The sequence below is a fragment of the Homo sapiens genome, chromosome 8, assembly GCF_000001405.40.
Source record: "Homo sapiens chromosome 8, GRCh38.p14 Primary Assembly".
NCBI lineage: Eukaryota > Metazoa > Chordata > Mammalia > Primates > Hominidae > Homo > Homo sapiens.
Window position 1 is genome coordinate 49,123,490 of NC_000008.11, and position 12,660 is coordinate 49,136,149.

Below are 12,660 nucleotides of genomic sequence, written 5' to 3' on the forward strand. Positions count from 1 at the left end.
CACTCTATGTCCATGTTTACATATTTTTTAGCTCCCACTTTTAAGTGAGAACATATGGTATAAGTGAGAAAATGGGGCTATTTTTGTTGTTGTTGCTGAATTGAGTTCCTTTTAAATTCTGAATATTAGTCCTCTGTTGGATGCATAGTTTGCAAATATTTTCTCCCATTCTACAGGTTTTCTGTTGACTCTTGATTATTTATTTTACTGTGTAGAAGCTTTTTAGTTAAATTAAGTCCCATTTGTCTGTTTTTGTTGCTTGTGCCTTTGAAGTCTTAGTCATGAATTCTTTGCCTAGACCGATGTCTGAAATAACTTTCTCTAGGTTTCCTTGTAGTGTTGTTATAGTTTCAGGTCTTACATTTATGTCTTCAATCCATCTTGAGTTGATTTTTGTATATGGCGAGAGATAGGGGTCCAGTTTCATTCTTCTGCATATGGATATCCAATTTCTCCAGCACCATTTGTTGGATGGTGTATGTATGTTTCCCTTATGTATGTTTTTGTAGACTTTGTCGAAGATCAATTGGCTGTAGATATGTGGATTTATTTCTGTGTTGCCTAGTCTGTTCCACTTATGTTATATAGAAGAGTTTAAAGTTGAATGAGAGATAAATGCATAAATAAATAAATGATATACTAATATAGCAACACATAAATAAATTCTGTGAATGGTCATTGGAGGATATCACTATTTCCAAATTAATCAAAGTTACTTTTCTTCATGAAATTTCATCTTATTGTTTCCTTTAACATGAATATGAATTGGGTTATAACTTATATGTAATCAGAAGAAGGTCTGTAATCATGAAAATATTTGTCTACCATCTTTACTTTGTGCATCTCTATGGTACTTACAACCAACGTACCCTGGGTTTTCTTTGGCATTTTCTACCTATAACATGTTTCATTTGCATCTTCTATAAACAACACCTGTCTTCTAAATATACTGATTTTGCTTTTGTACTTTATTTTTATGCTTCATGTCCAAATGGCACAGAGACAAGAATACTCAATTTGTATACAGTATGTATTAGTGTGCTTCCACATATATGCCATCCACATTCTATTATGCTTCTAGAAAATCTGCCAGCTTCATCTATAAATTCTATTCAGTTCTCTGAAGCACCAGAATCAATATTCTTTTCTTTGTTTTCTGAGTTTGTGATTTTATGTGAACTTTTCAAAATAAATTACCAGTGCTGCATATCACTCATTTAAAAAAACAATAAATCAACTTCAAATGCAAGCACATGTCTGGGAGATTTAACAGCTTTAGAAATAATAAGAACTAATAATTTTTTTACTATTTTTTTGTTTCAAATCTCTGTACCATAATTTTACATTATATGGAAATCCTTTGTAATAAACTTGGAATTTATCACAGTAGTTGTGTATTTTTTTTTTTTTTTTTTTTGAGACAGAGTCTCACTCTGTCATCCAGGCTGTAGTGTAGTGGTGCGATCGCAGCTCACTGCAACCTCCGCCTCCTGGGTTCAAGCAATTCTCCTGCCTAAGCCTCCTGAGTAGCTGGGACTACAGGCGTAAGCCACCACACCCGGTCAATTTTTGTATTTTTAGTAGAGACAGGGTTTCACCATCTTGGCCAGGCTGATCTCGATCTCCTGACCTCGTGATCCACCTGCCTCGGCCTCCCAAAGTTCTGGGATTACATGCATGAGCCACCGCACCCAGCCTGCATTGCATTTTTTTATTCAAAACTGTGAATTTGTTCAGAGAACAGCCTTTAACATCATCATTGTGTTTCTAATGTTAGCGCACAGGTGCTTAATATTTCCTGAATGACTGAATGACAAGAAATGAATCAATATGATAGTAAAAATGTTTACTCAACCAAATAGTGACAGTTTCTCATGCATGAGAATATGTTAACTTAATTACTGCAGTCCTGAAAACTTCTCTACATTGGTGGTGTGACTCTTTATCTGTGTTTGCAGCTTTGGTGTTGCCTGCTTCAATCTCCCTTAGGAGACATTCTGTTGCTAGATGGGTCTTACAGCTGACTGCCTCCAGCTGCTGTCACTGTGGAACCTGCCACGGAGTTCGAGGAGGCCATGTTCTTCTGGGATGTGTCCTGTTAATGACTGAGCACAGTGGCGCAGGGAGCTGTCCCATTTCCACCTGACGCAGGAGTCCTATAACAGACAAGCAAGGCTCTGGGGCTCCCACTGGACTGGCTTAGGCTGTCTCAGAGCTGCACTGTGCTACCCGATCCCTTCCTGCTTCTCCTCTTCTCAGGGGTCCAAATGGCCTCTCTTCCTGTTCCTGCCCCCCCATACATCCTTTGGGCACCGAATCCCAACTTGGCGCCTGTTTCTCTCAGTTGCTGAATTGATAATGTATCTGGAAATATAATGCATGGGAAGCTGTGGCATTACAACAATAACTTACTTTTGTGGTACTTTATAATTTTCAAACTGAGTTTATTCAGAAGTGGGCTATCATATCTCAGGCCATTTCTTGTTAATTTGAACAGTAACATTTCAATCATTGCTGATTCACAGAACTTTAATAGTGTAGGGTGTCTAAGGACCATTTATTTTAAATCTCCCTGTGTTACAGATGACGAAATTCGGAAGCTTAAAAGTGATTTGCTCAAGGGCAAATAACAAATTAGAGACAAAATTGAACCACATGAGAGCCCAGGAGCCCTTTCAGATATGATGTTGCCTATACAAAAATCTTAACTTCAGTTTAAGTAAAGCAATTATTAAAACAATTATGCAGTAAAGATCTAAATGTTATATTTGTTGAGTCATGCATTGAGCACTATAAAAAAGATACTTTGATTCTCTTCAACTTCAGTGATGCAGTCCTTATCCTATATACCATAATAATTTTGAAAGTAATGAATTAATTTACATTAACTTAGAGAACTTTTAGATGCACCAAAATATTGAGCAGAAAGTGAAGAGTTTTTATATTACTTTGCTAGAGCTGCCCCCACAGCCTGTGTGGCTTAAACAGTGGAAACTTATTATCTCACAACTCTGGCAGCTAAAGTCCAAGATCAAGGTGTCGGTGGGGATAGTTCCTTCTAATGGCTGTGAGAACCTCCCTTCTAGCTTCAGATAGTTTGCCCGTAATCTTTGATGTTCCTTGGCTTGTAACAGAATAACTCTAATCTTCACATTACATTCTCCATGTGAATCTATAGATGGAGTTGGGAAGAACTGACATCTTGGCAGCAGTGAGTCTTCTTATACTCCTGGATAGAAAAACATTGAGTATTTCTCCATTTATCAAATCTTTGACTTTGATCATCAGAGTTTTGTAGTTTTGTTTATGTAGAAGTGCCAGTTCAATGATGTGTCTTTAAATTAAAATTCCATTTTCTCATTATTGGCATATTGGAAATCAATTGACTTTTGTTAATTAACCTTTTATCCTTCAACCTTTGTGTAATCATTTATTAGTTCCAGAAATTTTTCTTGATTTTTTGGGATTTTCTACATAGAATTCAAATCATCTATAAACTAAGGCAGTGCATGTCTTCCTTCCCAATTTCTTTATGTTTTATTATCTTTTTTGGTCTTATTGTATTATGTAGAACTTCCAGTAAACTATTGAATACAAGTGTTGTGAGGGGACATCCTTGTCTCGCTCCTGAGCTGAGAGGGGAAGCATCTAGCTTCTCACCATTAAGTGCAATGTTAGCTGTACATTTTTGGTTGATGTTCTTAATTAAGTTGAAGAAATTTCCCTTATTCCTAGTTTGCTGAAAGTTTTTATCATGAGTCCATGTTAAACTTTGTCAAATGCTTTTTCTGCATCTATTGATATGATCATATGAATTTTCTTGTTTATCCTATTAATGCATTGAATTATATTATTAATTTTCAAGTGTCAGATCAGCCTTGCATACCTGGAATAAGTTTCACTTGGTCATGACATATAATTCTTTTTATACATTGTTGGATTCAACTTGCTAATGTTTAGTTGAGTAATTTTGTATTTACATTCATGAGAGTTCTTGGTCCACAGTTTTCCTTTTTTGTAATGTTTTTGTCTGGTTTTGGCATTAGAGTACTGCCAGCCTCATAACATGAATTAAGATGTGTTTTCTCTGCTGTTATTTCCTGAGAAAGATTGTAAATAATTGGTATAATTTCTTCAGATAAGAATTTACCAGTAGAATTTACCAGTAGAATTTACCAGTGAACCCATCTGGACCTGATGCTTTCTGTTTTGGAAGGTTATTAGTATTTATTTAATATCGATTGGCTTATGTAGAATATCTACTTCTGATATTGTTCAGAAACTGGATCATTTCATCTAAAGTATTCAATTTGTGAAGATAATAATATGTTCATAATATTCACTTATTATCTGTTTAATCTGTTTAAAGTTCACACGATCTGTAGTGATGGTTCTTCTTTCATTTCTGATATTAATACTTTGAGTCTTCTCTCTGTTTTTCTTAGTTAGCCTGGCTAGATATTTATCAATTTTGTTGGTCTTTTCACAGAACCAACTTTTGCTTATATTTAGAGGTAATCAGTTATCCATATAGTAAGATCAGGGCCCATTTTATGTATTTTTTATTCTCACATATAAACACAGTATGAGCTTTTCTATGGTAAAAATAAACCAGTAAAAACCTAAGACCTGAAATATAGACCCATGGAAATAGTTGCTGAATTCTAGGCAAATATGGCATGTCATAGGGAGGTAAATCTGAAAAGATATTTGGCACAGTCTGAATTACAGAATTAATTTTTTTATGATAATCAAGTTAAAATGTACTGTTCAGAACAGAGCAATCCTCATATTCTTGGTTCTATTATTTGCCTCTATTATTTTTATATCTCAAATATTTCTATATGGTTCTATTTTGGGCCAAATATTGAACAATGGCAGAGATAAATGTGGTTTTAAGGATTGAAAGACTAATGGGGGTTAAAAATACTTTTCAGGATTAAACCTAAAATAATGTGATGCTCTGGGTTGATTCTAGATTGAAACATTATAGAGACAAAAACATAAAGAAAGTGTCCTTTGAATTGCTTTCAGTAGTAACAACTTATTAGTAAAAAATTAATTATATAAAAAGGAAAAATGAGAAAGATGATATACTTGAGAAATCAAACACATCAAGTTAAAGTAATTTACACTCAGTACTGAGAATGGTAGTAAAATTAGCTAAAATATATCACATTTTACTGGTTGACATCATAAGCACACAAATGCATTTTAAAAAAATCCAGTTTAATCAAGATGACTTCCTTGTTAAAGAGAGAATACAGAAAAGTCCCGAAAGTTATAACCTTGGGTGGAACATATAACTTATTTTGGATTTTAAAAATGGAACACATCCCAGTTTCCTTCCGCATGGGCTACCGCCTGCCTGTGCAAGCCTCCTTACCTGGGATTGCAAGAACTTCCCAACAGGCTTCTGCTCTCTGATCATGACTCTTTTCTAGATAAATCTTAAAAGATAGGGTCATCTTTTAAAATGCATGAAGGGCCTAGTCCTCTCACTGCTTATTAAAATCTTCTGTGGCTCCCCATTGCTCATAGAGGAAAAGCTGACCTGCTGTGCTTTATTGGCCAAGCCCTTTGTTACTGGTCCTTTCTTGCCTAGTTGTCCCCCAAACCTCTCTCCCTTGTTAATTTTTCTGTATAAAGTACAAAAATGAGATCACCTGATAAATTTTTGCTCAACAAGTATGAATTAAAGCTATAGGAATAAACCAGAGACATTACAGATTTAAAGAGGGGAGATTATTACCTGAGAAGGCACATTCCAGCCAAATATCCTATTTTGGAAAGAAAAAAGAAGGAACATTTTTTTCCCCTAAAACTTGGCTGCATTTACATTGACAAAATATTGGAAAATGATATTGCATATATTAATATATGCAATGTATTTCTTTTGAGAATCATGATATCTAGTGTTTTTAATAGCATTCCATGCCTATTTAACATTGTTTTAGAGTGGCTCTTTTGGAAGCCTATATCATGAATTGGTGGATTTTATGGATATTTGCTTATGATTTGAGAAGTTTAGTAAACCAGAATAATCCAAATTGCAGTTATATTACAATTATATTTCTTATTCTAAATGAAAGTGGGTAGCTTCATTTTCTGCAAAGTCGCTATAAACTGGTTGAGTTTTTTCAAGAGGTATATAATACATTCATCCTCTTGCTGACAAATTCAGTTTTTCAAAGGGGAAGTTTAAGAACCAGACCCTGGACTTGAATGAATACACAGAGATAAAAGTCATGCCATGAAACACTTTTGGAAACATCATCTAAAATTTTTCAAGCTCTGGTTTTGTGCGTGTGTGTGTGTGTGTGTGTGCATGTGTCTGTGCGTGTGAGAGAGAGAGTGAGAGAGGAGAAGAGAAGAGAAACAAAGCCAGGCTGGCGTCACTCAGTGCGCACGAATCAGACATTTTTGGAAGCAACACAGGTAAAAATAGAAATGATGGTGTCATCAGATTATTGGCGAGCCTCCAAGTCTAGTCGTATGACATAATTACGTCATTGGGAACTTCTGGATTTCAAAACCCTTGAGAAATTGAACATGATCAGTAGCTACTAAATAAAACTGATAGCTATTATATGAAATTGCACTGGGTTGTTAAACTGGTAAAATATTATGTGTTTATATACTCAATAAATTGTTTATTTCCTCTACTGGCGTTCTAGATTCCATGGTCAGTAGTGGGGATATAGTTACTGAGAGGATGTGCTCAGAATCCCCTTGCCCTTGCAAAAGACTCTATCACAGTTTGAAGTTTTCTTGGAAAGTTTTCATCTCTTTTAGGCACTCTGCTCATTGTAGCCCAGCCAGGCCTGTTTTTCCTTGAAAATACCCTTGAAAGTGGCATGCTCTTTCATCAGAATTCTCATAAATTATCTTTCCTCTTTCTTTTTTCTACTTCCATTACCTTTTTCCTTCGTGACTTGAGATTTTTGGTAATGATCTATTAAATGACATACATTGTATTAGATTCTGAGATAGAGAAAATGATGAGACAGTCTTTGCCTTCCAGGAGCTCTTATTCCAAGTACCAACTACCAAGGTTAATAAACTAATACATGTGAGTGTTCCAAAGACAAATTCTAGCTTATCTTGTAAATTCTTCTACATGTGATTTTACTTAAAAGAAGACAATGTAGAATTAGGAGTGAAGCAATTTTGTGACAATGTGCAAAAGATGCTACCAGAGAAAATGCTGTGTCATAGACGCCAGGGATGGGAATGTGTGGGTGTATTTGCTATCTAACTATCTAGTCCCTCTGATCTTGGTGTAATGAGATTCTACTCCTAATAAAACTGAGAGCAAGTGTCTTAGAAAAGTGTAACACTAATCATTCATTAACAAAGCTTTTACTTTAGGACTCTAATATGAGCCTGATGTTATTCTTCACTGGAAACTCTTCCTATTGTGAAAATGGTCTATGTAAAAATAATCAAAGGACATATATTTGGCTAATAGATAAGTGAGAAATTCAGGAAGTCTTTTGGGAAGAGTAAAAAAGAAACAACCCAAAACTTGGTTTATGTCTTAGGTCAGTTACCCTAGAAGTAGAGTTAGATTGGAAAAATATTTTCAAGTTATTTATTGGGCAAGTGTTCTCAAGAAAAGGGAAGCCAGATAGAACAGGAGAAAAAGTCTAGCAACAATGTGGGCCTGGGAGAGAATGCCACGGAGCCTAAACAAATGTCATGATAGAAAGTTAGACTGCCACACTCCATAGAGTCTCTGAAAAGGCTAGCTTTGAAAATGAGAGTTACCAACTCTCTGCTGAGTTGTAGATCTCATACTATGTTTAAAATATAGATTTCTAGAGTGAACAGAGTTTTGTCAAGTCTAGGATTTGTATCCCTTTGGATTCTATACTTTATATATGATTTTTAAAAGCATACCCACCTTCTAATGTGACTCATGCATCAGTACCTTCCTCATCTATTTAATGTCATTTTCTGTTTCTCTACTCCAGCTTTTTGGTCACCTACTTGCATTCTGCCTCTGTTTAGGAGTGACAGAGAAAATCATAACTCTTTATTACCTCTTTCTTTAGCTTTCCCACTGCCATTAACATAAAAGCTGTGTAAGGTTAATTTTCACTGGGATCTTGGAGAAAATAGATAAATAAACAAAATAAAAATAAAATAAAAACAAAGCTAAAAACTGGATTTCAATAATAAATATTCCCATATTCCAAAGTAAAAGGGAAAAAAGTTAAGCCTTTCATTTTAGAGCCCATGTTGTCTCTCAATTTCAATCTTCCTTGCCCATTTAAAGGCTAGTCCTTCTTCTTTCTCTGAGAGAAACCATTCTTTAAATTACCCCCTTGTCCTCATTCCTCACAGCTCTTATCATAGGTTCCATCCCTCTGCTTGCACAGAGAACTTCACAAGATTAGATCCTCTGCACAGGCAGATTTTCAAAATTCTTTGGAACAAGGCAGTTGACATCCCAAGCAAGGTCACCTCGGGGTCTCTCTACACTCAGGGAGAGTGACAAGTTACCTGGTTTCTAGCAGGTAACTCTTGGAGGAAATGCATCTATTCACATACCATTCTAAGTCTCATTGCTAATTCTCAGGCACAGGCCAGTTTACACACATATTAAAGGAAAACATTTTTCTTGAATGGATAATCTGCTGATATTCCACCTCAAAATATGAAAAATAAATGTAAGTCAGTATAGCTTTTGCTACGCTCTTTTGTTCCCGGCCAAGGGCCTAAACCATTTGCGTGTATAAGAAACATGACTTGTAACTTTGCTTTGCCAACTATTTAAACCATCTTTGCCTGGTTGGAATATTTAATTTTACAAAGATCCGGTGGAAGCTAAGAAAGTTAAGTTTTTTTTCCTTTAATTATGAAGCAGCCTAACTTCTTTTTTGGGTTATTCTATGTCCTCTTCTTCTTTAGTCACTGCCTCTCATCCCTCTTCCTCGAATCTAGAGGCCCAAATGGTTTATAATACCACTGTCCAGCCTCAACATCTAGACAGAGGAACATGGTGGGGTGAAATCTGACTTTTTGACTTTACTATAATTGAACAAATGCTACGTTAACTGGCTTGTAAGAACTTTTCCAACAGTTTACACACAAATAGCTTTCTTTGGTAACGGATCTTGGAATAATTATTAATTTGATCAGTAGTTCTGCTATGCATGGCACACATGGAATCATTTATTTAAAAGCAAGCATGTAGTTAAAATGAATGTTGAAATGTAAATATGTGCTACTGTCAAAATTCTTCAAGATACTGGTTTGGCATTAACGTTTAATAGTCTACAGAGTTTTACTTCAGTTTCTGTTGTATTCTCTGATTTGTTTGCCTTCTGAAACTCTAGATATTTTATCAAACATTGATAATGGCTTCTATTTTAGCTGTGTTCAATCTTTTAAAAATGACTGACAGAATATGCTCAAGCTAAAAAGTTGTGTTGGCATCTGGAGTTTGTGTCCTGCCAAATATGCAGCAGACATGATCTTCTGGGTGGTGGCATTGCTGGAAAAGATCAAAGCTGTGGCCAGAGACTGTGACTGCATGTGTTCGGGCCTGGAGTATTTGGCAGGAGCTGTGTTCTATTAATATTTATTGGGATCTTGCAATCAATTAACTTTTCTGGTCTACTTTTTTCATGTGGTAAAAGGCAGAGGTCACTTTGTAATCTGCAGTGTCTCTTCTATTCTTCACTATATCCAGTGGCACATGGCAGCTCTAGGGTAGATCGCTGCACTAAGGCAGCCACACAGCAGGAGGGACTTGAAGCAGAAGCCAGCAGTATAGAGGAACCCAGGGTGTGCTTGCAGCCCTTGTTTTCGGAAGGAGTAGAATGAAGGAGGGGGATAAGGAGGAAGGATTGTAGACCCAAATAAATGGGGTACATTATAAAAAGTCAGGATCGACTAGATACGAGGGCATAACGTTAAGGGAAGAGAACAGATCCAGTAAATGAAGAATAAAATAGGTTTCTAAGGGAGGAGTTAAATAAGAAACATGAAGGAACCAGCATACAAGGTTGAAATTAATAAATTCTAGAGCAATTTGAATTTGGAGTTGAACTCCTAACTTTTTTTTTTTTTTTTTTTTTTTGAGACGGAGTCTTGCTCTGTCGCCCAGGCTAGAGTGCAGTGGCGCAATCTCGGCTCACTGCAAGCTCCGCCTCCCAAGCTCAAGCAGTTCTCCTGCCTCAGCCTCCTGAGTAGCTGGGATTACAGGTGCCCGCCACCACATCCGACTAATTTTTGTATTTTTAGTAGAGACGGGGTTTCACCACATTTGCCAGGCTGGTCTCCAAGTCCTCACCTCAGGTGATCTGCTCACCTCGGCCTCCCAAAATGCTGGGATTACAGGTGTGCACCACTGTGCCCGGCCCCTAACTCAGTATTTTACATGATTTCTAGTGCAAAAGTCAGAGCTGGAGCACACACACCTTAAAGTACACAAGATTCCACAGAGGACTGCTTGCTAACAGAGGGTATTCCAGGATCTCGGTACCAGAGATTCCCACAAGTATACTTAGGGTTAAGCTCGGGAATCTTCTTTTATGACACTGCATAATGTTGTATGTTGACAGTAGAGAGAGGAAATAGTAGCAACCAACAACACCGACCATTGTGAGATTATACAGTGACACTTGGTCTAAGATGCTGAACTGTTACTCATCATTATCATCATCTTCCTTTCTAGTATTTAATGACGCTGTACTTCTTGAAAAGATGTTAACATTATTCTAAGTAAGTTAAAATAAGAAGACATTTTGTAAAGGCAAAGATCAAATAATAATTTTAACATTCTTTGAAGATTTGTTTCATATATCAAAATAACATTGCTCTGTCAAACTTGCTAACTAAATTATAATGGATCACTTTTGCTGAGACACCTATAAATGAACCTCACTCTTTTAATAACATTCTTTATCCTGCTCTTAGAATGCATTTCTATTAAGGCACCCACTAATTTACCACCATATTTATGTATATCTTTGCAATGCCTTTATTTGTTCTAGTGAGGTAGTTATCTGTCAAATTAAAATTATGTGAAATTAAATAAGAAATAATTCCAAATGGCTTTGGAATTCAATTGGTACACTTTAGCCAACATGAATTAATTTTCTTTCTTTTTTTTTTTTTTTTGAGATGAAATCTTGCTCTGTTCCCCAAGGTTGGAGTGCCACAATCTCAGCTCACTGCAACCTCTGCCTCCCAGATTCAAGCAATTTCCAGATAACTTTTGCATTTTTAGTAGAGATGGGGTTTCACCATGTTGGCCAGGCCTCTACTGCAGCAACTGGGAATGTGCCATCTTTACTGCAACAGATCCACAGAGCCTTTGCTGCTTGCTTTATGCTACTGATATGGCTTTCTTCTCAGTACTCATCGCTGAGAGTAATATTAATCAAACATGGTTTTTACATGAAAAAGGCAAAACATTCCACTACAATAGACTGAATTTAATATGAATTAATATAAATTTAAATCAATATGATGCGATTCAAAATATCATTCAAATGTGAATCAATATGAATTAATCATGTTGATATCCCAGAGGAAATCTTGGTGGTACACTATAAGGATGACATCCTGCTGTTGATATGTTGACCAGGAAGTGACAAGTTCTATGAATACCTTAGAAAGCTTGCATGGCAATGGTGAGCCATAAATCCCATTAAGATTCAGGCTCCTTGATATTAGTGAAGATTTTAGAAGGCCAAAGGTCTGGGACATTTAGAATAAACTGAGGCAGGAGATGGCAAATTAAAGCCCAATGGCAGCAGTCTTAGTTTGGTAAATAAAATTCTCTTGGAACACAGCCATATTCATTCATTAACATGTTGTCTTTTTAAAAAATTAATTTCTTTTTTCCTATTAAACTTTTTCCAAGTTTTATTTTAGATTTGGGGGTACATGTGCAGGATTGTTACATGGGTATATTGTGTGATACTGAGGTTTGGGATTCTACTAATCCTGCCACCCAGGTACTTAGCATAGTCCCCAATAGTTAGTTTTTAAACCCTTAACCTCTTTCCTCCCTGTTCTCTCTAATAGTCCCGAGTGTCTACTGTTGCCATCTTTATGTCCATATGTAACCAATATTTAGCTCTGACTTATAAGTGAGAACATGTGTCATTTGATTTTCTGTTCCTATGTTAATTCATCTAGAATGATGGCCTCTAGCTGTATCCATGTTGCTGCAAAGAAACATCATTTTATTCTTTTTTATGGCTGCATAGTATTTCATGGTGTATATGTGCCATATTTTCCTTATCTAGTAGACCTTTGATGGGCAGTTAGGTTGATCTGATGCCTTTGCTATTGTGAATAATACTGTGATGAACATATGAGTGCATGTGTCTTTTTGGTAGAATGGTTTATTATCTTTTGGATATATACTTAGTAATGGGATGTCTGGGTCAAATGATAGGTCTGTTTTATGTTCTTTGAGAATCTCCAAATTGTTTTCCACAGTGGTTGAACTAATTTACATTCTTACCAACAGTGTATAAGCATTCCCTTTGCTCCACAGTCTCACTAGCATCTGCTGTTTCTTTGACTTTTTAGTAATAGCCATACTGACTGGTGTGAGATGGTATCTCATTGTGGTTTTGATTTGCATTTCTCTGACGATTAGTGATGTGGAACATTTTTTCATGTTTGTTGGCC

At 36.1% G+C, this 12,660-nt stretch overlaps 1 annotated feature.

Annotated features, from left to right (window-relative positions):
- Positions 5,608-6,807: an enhancer, noted in NCBI's record as "BRD4-independent group 4 enhancer chr8:50041656-50042855 (GRCh37/hg19 assembly coordinates)". NCBI's record gives its function as "activates an origin of replication core promoter dependent on BRD2, P300/CBP, MED14 and CDK7 cofactors, and independent of BRD4, by STARR-seq in HCT116 cells {active_cell/tissue: HCT116}" and the evidence as "EXISTENCE:reporter gene assay evidence [ECO:0000049][PMID:35650434]".